Source organism: Homo sapiens, chromosome 1, assembly GCF_000001405.40.
Source record: "Homo sapiens chromosome 1, GRCh38.p14 Primary Assembly".
In the NCBI taxonomy this organism is placed as follows: domain Eukaryota; kingdom Metazoa; phylum Chordata; class Mammalia; order Primates; family Hominidae; genus Homo; species Homo sapiens.
The window spans coordinates 37,969,514-37,990,378 of NC_000001.11; the positions used below are offsets into that span (position 1 = coordinate 37,969,514).

The window sequence follows — 20,865 nt, forward strand, 5'->3', positions numbered from 1 at the left end:
CTCTGTATCTGTTTCCAAAATGGGGAATGGGGAGAAAGTGGTAGTGCTGAGACTTACTTTGCCATCCCAGCCAAGTGGCAGGTTTTTGGGGTTGTAAATGATCTCGTTCTCTTCATCTTCACTCTCACTCTCACTGATCTGCTCTTCTTCCTCTTCTTCTCGCTCTTCTCCTGTCCTGGCTTGCTTGCGCTGTACATTTTCATGAGTGAGATGTCGCTGTTCCTAAAGCAGGTCCATAAATGAAAAGTCAGAAAAAAGTAGTGCAGAATAAGAAGGGAAATTTCCTGTTTTCCTGTAACTTTTGCTGACCCCTTACTTCCAAGGATAAGGTTCTTTCTTACAGAATAAAGGAAAATCTTGCCTTCATATCAGAACTCCTTATCAGCAGGCTCTACCTGATCCCAAAGAAAAGAGTCAAAGGTTTTACATCACTTGCCTAATTACTCATCTGAGGCTATTATAGAACAACAGAAAACAGTCTCATCTATTCTGACTCTAAAATATTTCCTGGCTGGGTGTGGTGGCTCACGCCTGTAATCCCATCACTTTTGGAGGCTGGGGTGGGAGAATCACTTGAGGCCAGGAGTTTGACATCAGCCTGGGCAACACAATGGGATCTCATCTCTACAAAACATTTACAAATTGGCTAGGCATGGAGGTGTGCACCTGTGATCCCAGCTCTTTAGGAGGCTGAGTTAGGAGGACTGCTTGAGCCCAGGAGTTTGAGGATGCAGTGAGCTCTGATCCCGCCACTGCACTCCAGCCTGGGCGACAGAGTGAGACTCCTTCTCAAAAAAAAAAAAAAAAAATATGCACACAATACAGGAGCACCCAGATTCATAAAGCAAGTCCTCAGAGACCTACAAAGAGACTTAGACTCCCACACAATAATAATGGGAAACTTTAACACCCCACTGTCAACATTAGACAGATCAACGAGACAAAGTTAACAAGGATATCCAGGAATTGAACTCAGCTCTGCACCAAGCGGACCTAATAGACATCTACAGAACTCTCCACCCCAAATCAACAGAATATACATTCTTCTCAGCACCACATCACACTTATTCCAAAATTGACCACATAGTTGGAAGTAAAGCACTCCTCAGCAAATGTAAAAGAACAGAAATTATAACAAACTGTCTCTCAGACGACAGTGCAGTCAAACTAGAACTCAGGATTAAGAAACTCACTCAAAACCGCTCAACTACATGGAAACTGAACAACCTGCTCCTGAATGACTACTGGATAAATAACGAAATGAAGGCAGAAATAAAGTGTTCTTGGAAACCAATGAGCACAAAGACACAACATACCAGAATCTCTGGGACGCATTTAAAGCAGCGTGTAAAGGGAAATTTATAGCACTAAATGTCCACAAAAGAAAGCAGGAAAGATCTAAAACTGACACCCTAACATCACAATTAAAAGAACTAGAGAAGCAAGAGCAAACACATTCAAAAGCTAGCAGAAGGCAAGAAATAATTAAGATCAGAGGAGAAGTGAAGGAGACAGACACACAAAAAAACCCTTCAAAAAAAATCAATGAATCCAGGAGCTGGTTTTTTGAAAAGATCAACAAAATTGATAAGACCGCTAGCAAGACTAATAAAGAAGAGAGAAGAATCAAACAGACGCAATAAAAAACGAAAAAGGAGATATCAACACCGATCCCACAGAAATACAAACTACCATCAGAGAATACTATAAACACCTCTACACAAACAAACTAGAAAATCTAGAAGAAATGGATAAATTCCTGGACACATACACCCTCCCAAGACTAAACCAGGAAGAAGTTGAATCCCTGAATAGACCAATAACAGGTTCTGAAACTGAGGCAATAATTAATAGCCTACCAACCAAAAAAAAGTCCAGGACCAGACGGATTCACAGCCGAGTTCTACCAGAGGTACAAAAAGAGCTGGTACCATTCCTTCTGAAACTATTCTAATCAATAGGAAAAGAGGGAATCCTCCCTAACTCATTTTATGAGGCCAACATCATCCTGATACCAAAGCCTGGCAGAGACCACAACAAAAAAAAGAGAATTTTAGACAATATCCCTGATGAACATCGATCCAAAAATCCTCAATAAAATACTGGCAAACTGAATCCAGCAGCACATCAAAAACTTATCCACCATGATCAAGTTGGCTTCATCCCTGTGATGCAAGGCTGGTTCAACATACGCAAATCAATAAACGTAATCCATCATATAAACAGAACCAAAGACAAAAACCACATGATTATCTCAATAGATGCAGAAAAGGCCTTTGACAAAATTCAACAGCCCTTCATGCTAAAAACTCTCAATAAACTAGGTATTAATAGGATGTTTCTCAAAATAATAAGAGCCATTTATGACAAACCCACAGCCAATATCATACTGAATGGGCAAAAACTGGAAGCATTCCCTTTGAAAACTGGCACAAGACAGGGATGCCCTTTCTCACCACTCCAATTCAACATAGTGTTGGAAGTTCCGGCCAGGGCAATCAGGCAGGAGAAAGAAATAAAGGGTATTCAATTAGGAAAAAAGGAAGTCAAATTGTCCCTGTTTGCAGATGACATGATTGTACATTTAGAAAACTCCATTGTCTCAGCCCAAAATCTCCTTAAGCTGATAAGCAACTTCAGCAAAGTCTCAGGATACAAAATCATGTGCAAAAATCACAAGCATTCTTATACACCAATAACAGATAAACGGAGAGCCAAATCATGAGTGAACTCCCCTTCACAATTCCTTCAAAGAGAATAAAATACCTAGGAATCCAGCTTACAAGGGATGTGAAGGACCTCTTCAAGGAGAACTACAAACCACTGCTCAACGAAATGAAAGAGGACACAAAGAAATGGAAGAACATTCCATGCTCATGGATAGGAAGAATCAATATTGTGAAAATGGCCATACTGCCCAAGGTAATTTATAGACTCAATGCCATCCCCATCAAGCTACCAATGACTTCACAAGCTTACCAATTTCTTCACAGAATTGGAAAAAACTACTTGAAAGTTCACATGGAACCAAAAAAGAGCCTGCCTTGCCAAGACAATCCTAAGCCAAAAGAACAAAGCTGGAGGCATCACGCTATCTGACTTCAAACTATACTACAAGGCTACAGTAACCAAAACAGCATGGTACTGGTATCAAAACAGAGATATAGACCAATGGAACAGAACGGAGTCCTTGGAAATAGTATGACACATCTACAACCATCTGATCTTTGACAAACCTGACAAAAACAAGAAATGGGGAAAGGATTCCCTATTTAATAAATGGTGCTGGGAAAACTGGCTAGACATATGTAGAAAGCTGAAACTGGATTCCTTCCTTACACCCTATACAAAAATTAATTCAAGATGGATTAAAGACTTAAATGTGGGCCGGGTGCGGTGGCTCACGCCTGTAATCCCAGCACTTTGGGAGGCCAAGGTGGGTGGATCACCTGAGGTCGGGAGTTCGAGATCAGCCTGGCTAACATGGTGAAACCCTGTCTCACTAAATACACAAAATTAACTGGGCATGGTGGCACATGCTTGTAGTCCCAGCTACTCGGGAGGCTGAGGCAGGAGAATCGCTTGGAACCAGGAGGTGGAGGTTGCAGTGAGCTGGGATCATGCCACTACACTCCAGCCTGGGCGACAGAGTGAGACTCTGTCTCCAACAAAAAAAAGAAAAAGAAAAAGAAAAAAAGACTTAAATGTTAAACCTAAAACCATAAAAACCCTAGAAGAAAACCTAGGCAATACCATTCAGGCCATAGGCATGGGCGAGGACTTCATGACTAAAACACCAAAAGCAATGGCAAAAAAAAGCCAAAACTGACAAATCGGATGTAATTACACTAAAGAGCTTCTGCACAGCAAAAGAAACTACCATCAGAGTGAACAGGCAACCTACAGAATGGGAGAAAATGTTTACAATTTACCCATCTGACAAAGGGCTAATATCCAGAATCTACAAAGAACTACAAAGAATCTACAAAGAGAAATGCAAATCAAAACCACAATGAGATACCATCTCACACCAGTTAGAATGGCGATGATTAAAAAGTCAGGAAACAACAGGTGCTGGAGAGGATGTGGAGAAACAGGAACGCTTTTACACTGTTGGTGGGACTGTAAACTAGTTCAACCATTGTGGAAGACAGTGTGGCGATTCCTCAAGGATCTAGAACTAGAAATACCATTTGACCCAGCCATCCCATTACTGGGCATATATCCAAAGGATTGTAAATAATGCTGCTATAAAGACACATGCACACTTACGTTTATTGCAGCACTAGTCACAATAATAAAGACTTGGAACCAACCCAAATGTCCATCAATAATAGACTGGATTAAGAAAATGTTGCACATATACACCATGGAATACTATGCAGCCATAAAAAAGGATGAGTTCGTGTCCTTTGTAGGGACATGGATGAAGCTAGAAACCATCATTCTGAGCAAACTATCGCAAGGACAGAAAACCAAACACCGAATGTTCTCACTCATAGGTGGGAATTGAACAATGAGAATACTTGGACACAGGGTGGGGAACATCACACATCGGGACCTGTTGTGGGGTTGGAGGACGGGGGAGGGATAGCATTAGGAGATATACCTAATGTAAATGACGAGTTAACGGGTGCAGCACACCAACATGGCACATGTACACATATGTAACAAACCTACACGTTGTGCACATGTACCCTAGAACTTAAAGTATAAAAAAAAATTAAAAAAAAAATATTTCCTTAACCAGGACTTTCTTCTCCTTTCCTCACCAAGATGACCACTTTTTTTTTTTTTTTTTTTTTTTGAGATGGAGTCTTGCTCTGTCGCCCAAGCTGGAGTGCAGTGGCGCAATCTCGGCTCACTGCAACCTCTGCCTCCTGGGTTCATGCCATTCTCCTGCCTCAGCCTCCCGAGTAGCTGGGACTACAGATGCCCGCCACTATGCCTGGCTAATTTTTTATACTTTTAGTAGAGACAGGGTTTCACAGTGTTAGCCAGGATGGTCTCGATCTCCTGACCTTGTGATCTGCCCGCCTTGGCCTCACAAAGGGCTGGGATTACGGGCATGAGCCACTGCGCCCGGCCCAAGATGACCACTTTCTAACTTGCCTTGAGTCTCTCCTCATTCCAATCCAATTTCCATTTTGCTACCAGGTTTATCTGTTTAAAAACCCAAATCTGTAGTGGCACGCTATCCTACTTAAGAGAACTTTTATTGGCTTCCTACTGCTTATAAGGCAAAGTCCAAATTTCCAACATAACTCTCTGACAGAGTTTTCTCCGACCATTCCCTCCCTCATAAGCCATATTCCACACACACTGCATTTCTCATTTCCTGAACATATAATTTTATCTAATACTGTTGTATCTTTGTGTTTGCTGTTTCCTCTACCAGAAACTTTTTCTTCTCCCTTCTCTCTTTCTACTTAGAAGACTCAACCTCACTTTATTCAGGTATGTATCACATTATATTGTAATTATTTGTCTCCCCTAACCACAAAATGAGTTTCTTAAGGGCAAGAGGCTGTGTCTTATTCACTATTGTATCAAAAAAATTTGCATAATGTCCAAAAACCAACAGACATCAACAAATGGTATAATAATGGCAAAAATCTTATCAGTTCATAGTGAGAGCAACTTCTGGAAAGTATTTGGCTAGAACTGGTTGGAATTCCGAAGAGAATAGTGCCATCTCCTGGCAGGGAAAGCAAAATGCTCTTAAAGGATGGAGAGGCCGTCGAGTGGCTCCAGCACTTTGGGAGGCCAAGGCAGGCGGATCACTTGAGGCCAGGAATTCAAGACCAGCCTGGCCAACAAGACAAAACCCTGTCTCTACCAAAAATACAAAAATTAGCCAGGTGTGGTGGCACACACCTGTAGTCCCAGCTACCAGGGAGGCTGAGGCACAGGAATCACTTGAACCCAGGAGGCGGAGGTTGCAGTGAGCTGAGATCCCGCCACTGCACTCCAGCCTGGGTGACAGAGTGAGATACTATTTCAAAAAAAAAAAAGAGGGAGAAAGTGGTGGACAAATCTCATGTCAAGGGCATGAGTGGCCTCCCAGCCACTCACAAGACTGGCAATTCAGCCTGCTGTCCACACTAGCACAGCCCAAGTTCACAGCGGAGAATATATCTCTCCAATGTCCAATGTCTAGCTAGCCTTTTACTGAAAGCAGTCATAACAGAATCACAGGTGACTAGTTCTACAGCTATTATACGAATGGTCCTCAAAGGCCGAATGAAAATGTCCACGGCAATTAACAAAAATATGTGAACAAGCTATCTGATCCAGAGCCATCCACTCAACGGACCATGCGAGTATGTGTAAAGGGAAAGGCTCTGAGAGTTAAAAATTGGGCTGGGCGCGGTGGCTCACGCCTGTAATCCCAGCACTTTGGGAGGCCGAGGCAAGCGGATCACGAGGTCAGGATTTCGAGACCAGCCTGACCAATATGGTGAAACCCTGTCTCTACTAAAAATACAAAAAACTAGTCGGGCGTGGTGGCGCATGCCTGTAGTCCCAGCTAGTCAGGAGGCTGAGGCAGGAGACTTGCTTGAACCCTGGAGGTGGAGGTTGCAGTGAGCCCGGATTACACCACTGTACTCCAGCCTGGGTGACAGAGCAAGACTCTGTCTCAAAAAAAAAAAAAAAACTGTACACAGCAGACACAATCAGAAAGGCTGGTCTTCTGAAGGACTCCAGAGACACTGATCATCTTTTCTGGATGAGTGCTGCCCTTTCTTCCACTTTTTCTTCCTGGAAAGAGATTTCTTTTCCTCCTACTCCTCTCCCTGCTTTCTCTCTGAGACAAGCATACTGGTCAGGCTAGGCCTTTCTCTACCCCAACCCACACTTCAGCTCCTCCTGAAATATTCAAGAACATTCACTGCCAGCTTTGTACTAATAATATTCTAGCCCTACTAAGTTTCTCATAATCTTATGAACATGTAAGTTGACTTACATGAGATGACTTATGAAAATGCCTTTTCATAAGTCATAACTGAAAGGCCACTTTGAGTAGCCTTTCTGTTACTTGCCCTTTGAGTGTCTGCTTTGTGGGCTACTCCTGAGTATTTTCTAAAGCTCAGGCACAGAATCTGCACTATTCTGGACATTATATTGTGAGGGGACTCTATTCTCCATGACTGGCTTTATGGGAATTGGGCAACTTTGGGAGTATCATCTAACAACAGAATAGGAACTTACTGAAGAGCCTTGTACCCTGACCTCTATTTTGTGCCATACTAGTTTATCAGCTATCCACTCCTCTTTTGAACCTAATGAAAAAGTATCTTCTGTGAGTTCCTCTCCCTTTAACTCCTGTGCTTTATACCATTTTCCACTTTCAGCAGTCAGTCACTTACCCCGAGAATCTCTACATATTCATAGATCTGGGCTTCTAGAAAAGCAATGTCTTTGTTCCTTTCAGTGTCTCTGAGAAAAAGAAACAAGCTGTTTCACTCAAGGATTCTCTCATCCATTGTTTTGTTCCCTATATCTGGGAACATTTATTGCACAACTGCATTAAAAATTATAAGCACATGAGAAATACGATGCTATGAAAGCAAATGCTCTGTTCATCTCAGGACTCTCTGACAAATACTGAGGGTATTTCTCAGAATGCATGGAGGCTTCCTCTATGACCTCACTTAGAAGATGAAGGACACATCAAGACCGCTTACATTTCCATCATTATAATCTACAAAGGAAATGTGGTATATAAGAGCAAGCTCTGCAGCAGGTAGACCTAGGCCCAAATCCTGACTCTGCTACTTAGAACTATGAGAGAGTGGACACATTCCATAACTTTTCTGAGTCCTTATCTGCAAAAACTCAGGATAACAACTAATTTTCTGGGTTGTTGTGAGAATTAGAAAAAAACGTACATTAAGAAAATACTGGGCCAGGCTCGGTGGCTCATGCCTGTAATCCCAGCATTTTGGGAGGCTGAGGCTGGCGATCACTTGAGGTTGGGAGTTTGTGACCAACCTCGCCAACATGGTGAAACCCTCTCTCTACTAAAAATACAAAAATTAGCTGGGCACGGTGGCTCACATGCCTGTAATCCCACCACTGTGGGAGGCTGAGGCAGGTGGATCACCTGAGGTCAGGAGTTCATGACCAGCCTGGCCAACATGGTGAAACCCCGTCTCTACTAAAAATACAAAAACTAGCCAGGCATGGTGGCGCACTCTGGTAATCTCAGCTACTCGGGAGAGTGAGGCAGGAAAATCGCTTCAAGCAGGGCGGTGGAGGTTGCAGCGAGCCGAGATTGCGCCACTGCACTTGAGCCTGGGTGACAGAGGAAGACTCCGTCTCAAAAACAAACAAACAAAAAACACACAAAAATTAGCCAATGTGGTGTTGCACATCTGTAATCCCAGCTACTCGGGAGGCTGAGGCAGCAGAATCACTTGAACCCAGAAGGCGGAGTTTGCAGTGAGCCGAGATTGTGCCACTGCACTCCAGCCTGGGCAACAGAGCGAGATTCCATCTCAAAAAAGAAAAAAACAAACAAACAAAAAAAACAACCCTGGGTCGGGCACGGTGGCTCGCGCCTATAATCGCAGCACTTTGGGAGGCCAAGGCAGGTGGATCACTTAAGCTCAGGAGTTGCAGACCAGCCTGGCTAACATGATGAAACCCCATCTCTACTAAAAATACAAAAAATCAGCCATGTGTGGTGGTGCGTGCCTGTAGTCCCAGCTACTCAGGAGGCTGAGGCAGGAAAATCTTTTGAACCCAGGAGGTGGACGTTCCAGTGAGCTGAGATTGCACCACTGCACTCCAGCTTGGGCAACAGAGTGAGACTGTCTCAAAAAAAAAAAAAAAGAAAAAAGAAAATACCTTGTATAAGTATGTAGCTCAAGAATTAGATTCAACTTTACCAAAAATAAGCTTAGAAAAATAGGTTTTGAACCTATTTAGCCTTTTAGCCTCCATAACCTATTAAAGGTGCCATGAATATGGTTTCAAATTTAGAAACTTGATGTGCTCTCAATCAGATGAATACAGACGGTCCTTGGTTTATATTAACAGTGATAGTACTCTCTGCTATTAGCAGAGATAAAGAGCAGACTGGATCTCTGTCAACCAATAACGGAGATAAAGCAGGCTTTAAAGTCTCCACTGTGGTTAAAAATTCTGCATGGGAATAACATTTAAAAGCCACAAGCAGCAGTGCTACCCCAGCCACTCACCGCTTGGTGCCCTTTGACTTGGGATTTTTGGCAAACAAAGAGGTATCAAGTGACTCCAGGGACTTTCCTTTGGTACTGAATAGTCTCTGGGCTCGCTCTTCTAGGGTCCTAAGGAGACAGGACGGCAAAGGATTTTAGGGTTACTTTACCACACAGGCTGGCTTATTTTTGCAGTGTGGAGCAACAAAAAAAATGGAATCAGAGCTACTTAGAAGACTGTGCAAACACACAGTAAATCGATAGTTTTGATAGAAAAACTATTCCTTACCCGCCACATTTCAAGCCTAAAGCTAAGAGAGCAGATTTCAATCTGTCCAAACCCAGAGAAGCCAACTCCTATACAAAGAAGAGAAAAATTACAATATTACATTAACAGATTTTTGGGAAACCCCAAATGCAGGCCAGAGGGTGGGTGTTCCTGAGGCTGTGGCAGGACCACACATTTCACAGCCAATCTAGCAGTAAGTCTAAACTCTCCAGAGGACTGAATCTATAGTTATCTTCAGACTTAACCATACTGATAGTGTTCCATTTACTTTACTACGGCTTAATGTAGTTAGAATAATTATTTCAGTTTCCCAAGTAGTAATTTTTTTCTTTTTGCCTTGCTACTTTCTTTGTAGATGCTTGATCTCAAGAAATAGTGCCTTATCACAACACAACCATGGTATTAAAGACAGGAGAGCAGTCTTTAAAGACAGAAAAATAGACAGAGAGAACACTACTACTGCTGAAGGAAACATACCTCCCAGGAGGAGAATGCAGAGAGGTCAAGATGGGCTCCAGCATGGGTCAGGGCACTGCTTGTCTCTTTCTGGAAAGAACAATATGGTATTTATTAAGATCCAGGTTTAGGCCAGGTGTGGTGGCTCACACCTGTAATCTCAGCATTTTGGGAGGCCAAGATAGGTGAATTGCTTGAGTTCAGGAGTTAGAGACCAGGCAGGGAAACATGGTGAAATCTTGTCTCTACAAAAAATTATCTGAATTAGCTGGGCATGATGGCATGTGCCTGTGGTCCCAGCTACTCAGGAGTCTAAGGTGGGAAGATCTCTTGAGCCCACAAGGTTGAGGCTGCAGCAGTGAGGTATGATCATGCCACTGTACTTCAGCCTAGAAGCCAGATGGAGACTTTGTCTCCCAAAAAACAAAACAAAACAAAACAAAACAAAAAACAAAAAAACCCCACCAGGTTTAGGATGAAGCTAAGGTTTGTCCACATTCTCTCCCTGGAGAGTTCAGGAAAAACTCATGTTTATCCCTAGAAGTGAGAATGTAGATTCCTAACATATGATCTGATAAGCTCTTGGTTGGCAGGAACCACATAGCAGTAATGATGTGATTGGTGAAAATCTGGGCACAGTCAAAGGCAAGTGGACCCTGGCAGTCTTGCTCCAAAGTACACTCAAAAAAACTCACATACGGCCAGGTGCGGTGGCTCACACCTGTAATCCCAGCACTTTGGGAGGCCGAGGTGGGCGGATCACCTGAGGTCGGGAATTTGAGACCAGCCTGACAAATATGGAGAAACCCTGTCCCCACTAAAAACACAAAATTAGCCGGGTGTGGAGGCGCGTGCCTGTAATCCCAGTTACTCGGGAGGCTGAGGCAGGAGAACTGCTTGAACCCGGGAAGCGGAGGTTGAGGTGAGCCGAGATCCCGCCATTGTACTCCAGCCTGGGCAACAAAAGCGAAACTCCGTCTCCAAAAAAAAAAAACATAGCATACTTGGCAGGGAATACCTCATTGTCACAAGTGATACCAAGGAATTGATACCTAATGCCCTAAAGTGGAAGCTCAAGATAAAGGAAAATAATTACTTCAATTCCCTGGCATGTCCACCATTCACATCCCACTGAAGCTCACCGGCCATCCAGGAAAGGTCCCATTCTCCCATTTCTTCTCAAACTCAGCCTGAATCTTCCCAAAAAGTTCATTCTGATCTTGGAGAGGCTTCACTCTATCTGTGTAATCCTGAAGGTACTCAAGCAGCATCTCTAGGTATCTACAGAGGAACACACAATGCAGACAAAGCAAAAAGGGTTTCTATTTTTGGTATCTTGTTATTCCCTGCAGAATATAAAGTACTTATAATTCTAGTAATGCTATCTTTTTAATACTCTTTTTTTTTTTTTTTTTTTTTTTTTGAGGCAGAGTTTCGCTCCTCTTACCCAGGCTGGAGTGCAATGGCGGGATCTTGGCTCACCACAACCTCCGCCTCCCGGGTTAAAGCGATTCTCCTGTCTCAGCCTCCCGAATAGCTGGGATTACAGGCATGCGCCACCATGCCCGGCTAATTTTGTATTTTTAGCAGAGACGGTGTTTCTCCACGTTGGTCAGGCTGGTCGCGAACTCCTGACCTCAGGTGATCCGTCTGCCTCGGCCTCCCAAAGTGCTGGGATTACAGGTGTGAGCCACCGCGCCCGGCCAATACTCATTTTTAAATGAACTTACAATGGACTTTTTTCCCAACATGTCATTTTGATTCTGACCTTTCCCGCCTCCTTTTATTCTCATAAAATGATGCTAAATACTAAGGTCTTAATTACTTTGCACATAAAAGATTTCAGTAAAAAGAAAATGAGAAAAAGAGGGGAAGGGTATAAAATCACTAATCAGGAGAGTAATTAACAAAAACATAAATTTTTCACTTATACATCACACCTAAGCATCTCACTTCAGTCACTATCTGAGAAAGTCTAATTTTTTTTCCCATTAAACTCCAAAAACACAGAAATCCCAGAGTGGGAGAGTTCCTTCTATAATGAGACAAAATTAAGAACACTATGGGCATAAGATGGAAGATGTGCCCACAGACACACCTTTGTCCACGTCCAGACTATCGCAAAGGTTTTAAAACCACATCATTCATAACCCCATCCTCCAATAAACCTGGAAGTATGCCTTCATGTATGCCTTCCAGGCAACAAATTCAGAACTTCACCCTCAAAAACTTCACATTATCTTCTAATCAAATCCAGGAGAGGCCTAGAAACTATTAATGCCTACCTCTTATACTCTGCATTCTTCCTTTCTTTAGGAATGTCAAATAATTGGTCAAAGATGGACAGGTATGTGATATAATCCAGCTTCTGAAAAGAGGAAAGAAATGACAAGAAATTCAGTTAGGTATTTATACTGTAACAAGTTACAATATAATCTCCAATAAGTGAGATCAAAATTGAGTGTTTTCTAAAGAAGTAACAAGGGCTGGCTAATTTTGGTTTTTTTTGCTTGCCTATCATTCAATCCTACTACAACTGGAGTGTTAATTTCACTGGACTGAAGGAAAATATCAGACATAATAACTTTACAAAATAAAGATCAAGTTAATGAACATTAAACTAAAAGAAACGTTTGTCGATTATTACCTCATGCTAGGGTCTTGGTTAAAGACTCTGACACCCTAAAACAAGGTGCTCAAAGGTGCCATTTGTTCACGCAAGTAACTACTTATTAAGCATCTTTGTACCAAGTACGGGGTACAGAAAACAACAAAACAGACAAGGGATCTGACTTGCCTGCATGGAACTTGAAGTTTGGTCACTACAACTCTGGGACATTTCTTCACAATTCCATGAGGAATCTAATCATGGATTTCCTTGTGATCCTTTTGAGATTGTCATATTAAACCTCATCTCTTGTGATAAGCTATTTTTTTTTTTTTTGAGACGGAGTTTGGCTCTTGTTGCCCAGGCTGGAGTGCAATGGCATGATCTCGGCTCACCACAACCTCCACCTCATGGGTTCAAGCGATTCTCCTGCCTCAGCCTCCTGAGTAATTGGGATTACAGGCATGAGCCACCATGCCCGGCTAATTTTTTCTATTTTTAGTAGAGACAGGGTTTCTGCATGTTGGTCAGGCAGGTCTTGAACACCTGACCTCAGGTGATCCACCTGCCTTGGCCTCCCAAAGTGCTGGGGTTACAGGCGTGAGCCACCGCGCCCGGCCTGTGATAAGCTATTTTTAAACATCTTTAAGAAAAGACATTAAATACCTTTTTGCTGACTGAAAGATCATGTTGTTTTATTTTCCATGTACCTAGTATTGTTTGTGTCTAAAACAGGAACACCTAGAAGAACACATAAATCTGGGTGGGCACAGTGGCTCATGCCTGTAATCCCAAGGCTTTGAGAAGCTGAGGCAGGAGGATTGATTGAGTCCAGGAGTCCAAGACTAGCCTGGACAATACAGTGAAACCCTATTTCTACAAAAAAAAATTTTTTTTTTTGAGTTTGAGTTTTGCTCTTGTTGCCCAGGCTGGAGTGCAATGAATGACACAATCTCGGCTTACCGCGACCTCCGCCTCCTGGGTTCAAGCGATTCTCCTGCCTCAGCCTCCTGAGTAGCTAGGATTACAGGCATGCGCCACCATGCCCAGCTAATTTTGTATTTTTAGTAGAGACGGGGTTTCTCCATGTTGGTCAGGCTGGTCTTGAACTCCTGACCCCAGGTGATCTGCCCACCTTGGCCTCCCAAAGTGCTAGGATTACAGGCGTGAGCAACTGTGTCCAGCCAGGAACATGGTATTTATTTAAAAAAAAAAAAAAAAAAAAAAGAATTTAAAGAAATCTTATGTAAGGCTGGATGCAGTGGCTTCCGTCTATAATCCCAACACTTTGTGAGGCCAAGACAGACGGATTGCTTGAGCTCAGGAGTTTAAGACCAGCCTTGGCAACATGGCAAAACCCCATCTCTACACAAAATACAAAAAATTAGCTGGGCATGGTGGCACACGCCTGTAGTCCCAAGTACTTGGTGGGGCTGAGGCGGGATCCATCACTTGAGTCCAAGAGGTCTAGGCTACAGTGAGCCAAGATCGCGCCACTGCACTCCAGCCTGGGTGACAAAGTGAGACCCTGTCTCAAAAAAAAAAAAAAAAAAAAAAGATTTATTTTGGCAAAGGTAAAATATGCTTGCTGTATTGATAATGGACTGGGTACAATGGCTCATGCCTGTATCCCAACACTGTGGGAGGCCGAGACAGGAGGATCATTTGAGGTCAGGAGTTTGTGACCAGCCTGGGCAACACTGCAAGACCCCATCTTTACAAAAAAAGACAAAAATTAGCCAAGTGTGGTGGTGGTATGCACCTGTAGCCTCAAATACTCAGAAGGCTAAGGCAGGAGATCACTTGAGCCCAGAAGTCGAGGTTGCAGTGAGCAAAGATCATACCACTGCACTCCAGACTGGGCAACATGGTAAGACCTCATCTCAAAATAAAAAAAAAAGTATTAATAAATAAATATGCTTCTTGTTTTCACTGTAGAAAACTTTCATTTTGAATAGTATTTCATTCCAAGAGAGCATATCACCTCTTTAATATTTACATAAGAGTTTTAAAACACAAGGAAGACACTTTACAATGGCTTCATGTCTGCTAGTTCCAGCCTACTGTCCTGACTCACTTCGAGAATCAGAACCTCTCTGCCCTTTCCCAGGCCTTACCTCAGATGCCTTCAGGTTAATGTACTTGAGGTAACAGTCATGGAGATCGAGATAACGACCATATCCCTCTTCATCTGTGAACTCCACCAAGTCTGAGGGAATCAGATACATCAATGATTCAGTTTCTACAGACCACTCTCTTGGACTTACCTTTTCAAATGGACTGTGTGTTCCTAGTTTCCTGAGGCAGCACTTCACCCAAATGTCTTCCCTTTGCTCACAATATAACCTCCAATAAGTTAAGTGAGATCAAAAGTGAGTTTTCTCTTACAAGGTAACAAGGACTGACTCATTTTAGTATTGTGAACTAAAGTGAACAATCCTTGGCTTTCCAAGCCAGTAAATTTGAGGTAGGAGAGAACAAAATGAACATTTTGCCCAAGACCAACTTAGGATGTCACTCTAGCCCAGAAACCAGCAAAGACAAAACCAGCAAGAAATCCTGGCTATAAATATCTCTGAGGCCATGGCTGCAAATCTGAGCTGTCATTAACCTGTATTTTTGCTGGTGCTGAATGAAATTTTCACCCCTACTTACTTTGTGCCTCTTCACTTGGATTCTCTCGAGCCTTCAGGAGTTCCTCAAATTCCACTGACATTGGCACACAGATCTGAGGGGAAAAGTAAAAGCTCAGGTGGATTTTTCTTTTTGCTTTTGAGATGGATTCTCACTCTGTGGCCCAGGCTGGAGTGCACTGGCACAATCTTGGCTCACTGCAACCTCTACCTCCCGGGTTCAAGCGATTGTCCTGCCTCGGCCACCCGAGTAGCTGGGATTATAGGCACACACCACCACGCTTGGCTAATTCTTGTATTTTTAGTAGAGACAGGGTTTTGCCATGTTGCCCAGGCTGGTCTCAAACTCCTAAGCTCAAGTGATCTGCCCACCTTGGCCTCCCAAAGTGCTGGGATTACAGGCATGAGCCACTGTGCCTGACCGCAGGCGGATTTTTCAATGTAAAAGTTGCAAGATCACAGAAATGAAATACACAGAAAGTTGGACTTCTGATGATTTATTTGGCCTTGATTTTTCACTAGGAAATCTACTACTGTTCTCCAATTACCTTGTTTTTCCCCGCTTTTTTGTACTGTTTGAGTAAAACCCACTAAAGTAACACATGCTCACAAAAACTCAAAAGTCCACCTTTATTAATTCTCCTGAGAACAGGTGACCACTGTTAACAGAGCTTTTGCTATGCCAGTGGTTCCCAAACTTTGCTGCACATTAGAATCACCTGGGGGAGTTTTTTTTTTAAATCCTGATGCACCTGATACCAATTAAATCAAAGGAGGGCAGGTATCAGTACTTTTTAAAGATCCCCAGGTGGCTCAAATATGCACAAAGTTTGGAAAACAGTGCTCTATGTATTTAAATATATGTATTTGTACAAGTACATTCATGCCTGCATAGGTTTTTGTTTTTGTTTTTTTAACATAAAAGACTTGCGTCTGACATTTAGTATATCTTGGGCATCCTTCTAATCAGTTATTTAAGCATTTATTCCTCATTACCTTTTGACCATGGCTGGAATAAGGTTAACACATCAGAATGGTATTCATTTATTCTCCCTTGGTTAGCAGAAGACCTCATTCTCTATCCTCCAAGGGGGCTATGTGTGTGAGGGTCCCTTCATTTACCTCCGCGCTATGTATTGCAATAAACAGCCTCTATTTTTTGCTGTTTTTAGTCTCTTCCTTTTTCCCTGTGCTCCTTCAAATAAGTATGCTTCTCTGTCTTCCCCAATACCCTCCTGTTTCTCCCCTTCTTTTTCCTACCAGACTTTTTTTTTTTTTTTTTTTGACGGAGTCTTGCTCTGTTGCCCAGGCTGGAGTGCAGTGGCGTGATCTCAGCTCACTGCAACCTCCATGTCCTGGGTTCAAGCGATTCTCCTGTCTCAGCCTCATGAGAAGCTGGGATCACAGGCGTGCACCACCATGCCCGGCTAATTTTTGTGTTTTTAGTAGAGAGAGGTTTCACCATTTTGGCCAGGCTGGTCTCCAACTCCTGACCTCAGATGATCGACCCGCCTCGGCCTCCCAAAGTGCTGGGATTACAGGCGTGAGTCACTGCACCTGGCTACCAGCCTTTCAAATGCATGTTCCATACTCCATACTTCTACTTCCCCATTACCCATCTTTACCTTGTGACCAGATTTCCATTCATACTACTTTAATGAAGCAGCAATCCTGGCAGATATAAATCAATAACAGTTGACACCATGACTGCCTTTCTGAAACTCTCTTTTGCTTAACTTCAGTAAGGCAACACCACCTGGAGTGGTCATGTGACCTTTCTGATGGAAGCCTTCCCAGGCCCTTTTTCTCTTTACCTTATTATAAGTGAGCTCCAGGGCATATGAGGGCCGGGCGCGGTGGCTCATGCCTGTAATCCCAGCACTTTGGGAGGCCGAGGTGGGCGGATCACAAGGTCAGGAGATAGAGACTATCCTGGCTAACATGGTGAAACCCTGTCTCAACTAAAAAATACATAAAATTAGCCAGGCGTGGTGGCAGGCACCTGTAGTCCCAGCTACTCAGGAGGCTGAGGAAGGAGAATGGCATGAACTCGGGAGGTGGAGCTTGCAGTGAGCCGAGATCATGCCACTGCACTCCAGCCTGGGCAACAGAGCGAGACTCCATCTCAAAAAAAAAAAAAAAAAAAAAGACAGAGTTAGGAACACAATTTATTGGGGAGAGTAATTTCTGTGAAAGATAAAAAGGAAGAGAAAGTAGGATTAGGACAGGATAGCCTAGACCACAATGCAGATTGGACAAAATCTTGACCAACCCAACGGGGAGCCATGGAGCAAAGATTATTCATCAGAGGAGTCTCAGAGTGGACCAAATTGCTGGGCCCTAGTACCCATACTGTGCTCAGTCACTGGCTGGGAGCTGCCCACAAAATGTGGCCTTGACTTCTTTTTTTTGAGACAAAGTCTCACTCTTGTCCCCCAGGATGGAGTGCAATGGCGCAATCTCGGCTCACTGCAACCTCCACCTCCCAGGTTCAAGTGATTCTCTTGCCTCAGCCTCCTGAGTAGTTGGGATTACAGGCACATGCCACCATGCCTGGCTAATTTTTGTATTTTTAGTAGAGGTTGAGTTTCACTATGTTGGCCAGGCTGGTCTTGAACTCCTGACCTCAGGTGATCCACCCACCTCAGCCTCCCAAAGTGCTGGGATTACAGGCGTGAGCCACCGTGCCCAGCCGGCCTTGGCTTAAAAGCTGAGGGAGATACTGAAAACACTGTATTGTAGGATGTCAGCTAACTATGGTCCTTGCAGCTAAATGGCAAGTTCTTTCTTGAAGTGCATTTGAATAGCACATGTCCAGTTTCCTTTATACCTTTCCTTTAGTATGCTTTAAGGATAGGTCTGGAGAAAATACTTTTCTGAGGACATACCTCATTTGGGTGCTTCCGGTGGAATTCCTTTATTTGCTTGAGTCTATTATAGAATTCAGCAAACTCATTGGGTCCTGAAATGGCATTGAGCTCCTCCTTTCGTAATCTGCAATTTCAGGAAAATTTCAAAGAAGATAGAGCACAAAGTCAGTCCTCTAACCATGGCTCCTCAGAAGCACTAACTCCTGGATTAGCTGTGACTGTCACTTACCCATCCTTATCATCATACAAATCCCTCAGGTTCCCACTGACCTCCATATACCTCTGAAAGGCAAATACAAAACCATCAGAATGATGCAATTTGCACAACTGTAGAGCTAAGCAAACAACAAGGGTTCTCCAGTCAAAGCCCAGGGCAACCTCAAGAGACATGGATATGAGATAGTCTTAACAGTTCTGTGCTTCCTAGTACCTTTAACAGCCCTGATTCCTGGTTAGTTTTTTAATAGCCCTTTAACAGCCTTGATTCCTGTTTAGTTTTTTAAGCAGGTCGATTGGAAGATTACCTAAATGATACATTTAAGGGGTGGCTCCTATCTTTACATACCACCGATGCCTAACTTCCCCTGTAACAGACTCACCCTCTTTGGCCAAACACTAGTTCCCACCTAACATCCTCAAAGATAAAGATGATATTCACTATTTCAAAACGCTTGACTGAGGAGTAGGCAGGCTAAATAAACATTACATAGGCTTCCTTTGTAGTCAAAGTATACTAATTCAGGATGGTACAGGTACATAGTCCCTCCTCCAAAACTTTTGGGACCAGATTTGTTTCAGAATTTGGAATGTTTAAGTTCAAAAGAGGTATCATATATTATGTAACATCCCTAGTGGAATCTGGAGCACACAGTTCTGCAGTAAACCTCATACCTTATTTACCAAGTGGGATAAATTAAAGACCATAAAAAGCCTATCACAGGTTCGGGCCAGGTTTTACTGTCAAGTGAGATCAGGTCAGATTTTGACACCAAATAATCACCCAAGGGGAAAAAAAGAAAATCCTTGGTTTTCAGAGTATTTTGGGGCTGAGGGCTTGTAATCTGATAATCTCCTGCAAATCAGAAGGTCCAAGTAGGTCTTTTATTCCTTTTTAAACAGGTTTCAAACATACACAAGAGTAAGGAACGTAGTAAAATGAACCTCCATTTATTCATCACCCAGTTTAAATAGCATCTTGTTTTTCTTTTAATAAACTGAACTATTACCAGACAAATGCAGTTTAGTAGTCCAAAACGCTTTAAAGTAGTATCCTGGGAGAAAAACACTAACATACGGGGTGTGTTGTGTGTGTGTGTGTGTGTGTGTATATATATATATATATTTTTTTTTTCATTTAAGGGAAGGATTGTAGCTATGCACCTGAGTCATGGACTCTTCATAACTATTGTTTGCACATCCAAGGGATACAGGATGCTGTAAGAATGGGCACGTGTAAGCCGGCCGCGGTGGCTCAAGCCTGTAATCTCAGCACTTTGGGAGGCCGAGGTAGGTGGATCACGAGGTCAGGAGTTCGAGACCAGCCTGACCAACATGTTTAGTAGAAACTCCGTCTCTACTAAAAATACAAAAATTAGCTGAGCGTGGTGGCGAGCGCCTGTAGTCCCAACTACTCCGGAGGCTGAGGCAGGAGAATCGCTTGAACCCAGGAGGCGGAGGTTGCAGTGAGCCGAGACCGCGCCACTGCACTCCAGCCTAGGCAACAGAGCGAGACTCCGTCCAAAAGAAGAAGAAGAAGAAAAAAAAAAAGGGCACCTTTCTGATTAATGAAGAATGCCCAAGAGTTCCCCATTCAGAGAACTGAGGAAGCACCCTCACGTTCGGCAGCCTGTGGACATCTGTCCAGGCAGAGAGCCCGCGACTGGCCAATCCGGTTACCTTTGGCCAGGGACTCATGCTGAGACACCGCACTTCACTTCCCCTCTCTTTTCCCGCCCTCGCCAACCCAAAGAGAGGCAGACAGCTGGGCACTCACATCTTGCATGGCCCGAGTGCGGTGATCAGAATTGATCTGGTCCCGGAGCTGAAAAAACAAACGGTGACACAAACGCCGTTAGTTTGCGTTCTGGAGTAGAAAAGGCCGCCCGAGGGCGGAGCTTACCCGCTCAGCTTTTACCAGCTGAGGCAGAAAGGCCTCTGGGGCTCCGGACCCCGGGAGGAGGTTACCAAGACCGGAGCTCGGAGAGGGAGCCCGGAGGAAGGCAGGGAGGTTCTGAGGGCCAAAGCAAGCTCTCAGAGGTCAAACACGGGATAGAGGCTCGTGCTCCTGCCGCAGCCTCTGCTCAGGCCCCACTCACCGTGGACTTCTTGGTGAGCATCTCTTTAGCCATGACGTCCATGAGCCGTTCCTTCTCCTCATGATAGCGCCGCTGCTGCTCCAGTATTGTCTCCATCTTCCCTTAGTCGCGGCTTCTCAATTCAGACCACCAACACGGCCGGAAGCAACTCCTGCCGCCCAGCGCGCCTGAGTCCCCACGTTGCGCATCAGGCTGCACCAAAGTTCCGCGAGTGCCGGAAGTGCCCCGGGACTTAAGAAAACAGGAGCACCACAAGGAAGGCCAGTCCATGTTATGGAGATGGCAACAGTGCCACCTGCTGGTGGGAGGTGTGGTGGAGCGATGCCGAGAGGTTCGCAGATGCCTCCAGGGGGCATAGGAAAACCCAAGAACCTGAGGTTCAGCGGACGGCTTCCTGCGGCTTGCTGGGGCCGGCTTGGCGGGCAGGTATCCTGTGTGGACTGCGCGAGCAGTTGGAGTGCGGATGGGAGTTGGGAAACCGGAACTTGAGGACGCAGCTTTCAGCATAA

The 20,865-nt window shown here is 43.9% G+C and overlaps 1 protein-coding gene across 2 annotated transcripts in view, besides 2 other annotated features; it reads right to left on the bottom strand.

Moving 5' to 3' along the window:
- SF3A3 (splicing factor 3a subunit 3) overlaps positions 1–20,509 on the bottom strand; it is a 33,048-nt gene extending 12,539 nt beyond the window's left edge. Inside the window, exons 1-13 of one of the 2 annotated variants that reach the window (NM_006802.4) lie at positions 20,357–20,509; positions 20,035–20,082; positions 18,271–18,323; positions 18,060–18,165; positions 15,194–15,266; positions 14,656–14,747; positions 12,216–12,298; positions 11,073–11,211; positions 9,952–10,020; positions 9,475–9,542; positions 9,207–9,314; positions 7,371–7,440; positions 58–222 (exon numbers count right to left, since the gene is read on the bottom strand). In NM_006802.4, coding sequence (NP_006793.1) covers positions 58–222; positions 7,371–7,440; positions 9,207–9,314; positions 9,475–9,542; positions 9,952–10,020; positions 11,073–11,211; positions 12,216–12,298; positions 14,656–14,747; positions 15,194–15,266; positions 18,060–18,165; positions 18,271–18,323; positions 20,035–20,082; positions 20,357–20,452 — 1,170 coding nt within the window. In that variant the 5' untranslated portion in view covers positions 20,453–20,509. The remainder of the gene's footprint in view (positions 1–57; positions 223–7,370; positions 7,441–9,206; positions 9,315–9,474; positions 9,543–9,951; positions 10,021–11,072; positions 11,212–12,215; positions 12,299–14,655; positions 14,748–15,193; positions 15,267–18,059; positions 18,166–18,270; positions 18,324–20,034; positions 20,083–20,356) is intronic. The other variant, NM_001320830.2, reaches the window with a different exon arrangement.
- Positions 19,761–19,860: an enhancer, noted in NCBI's record as "active region_780". NCBI's record gives its function as "activates an Ori minimal core promoter by ATAC-STARR-seq in GM12878 lymphoblastoid cells {active_cell/tissue: GM12878}" and the evidence as "EXISTENCE:reporter gene assay evidence [ECO:0000049][PMID:35858748]".
- Positions 20,561–20,730: an enhancer, noted in NCBI's record as "active region_781". NCBI's record gives its function as "activates an Ori minimal core promoter by ATAC-STARR-seq in GM12878 lymphoblastoid cells {active_cell/tissue: GM12878}" and the evidence as "EXISTENCE:reporter gene assay evidence [ECO:0000049][PMID:35858748]".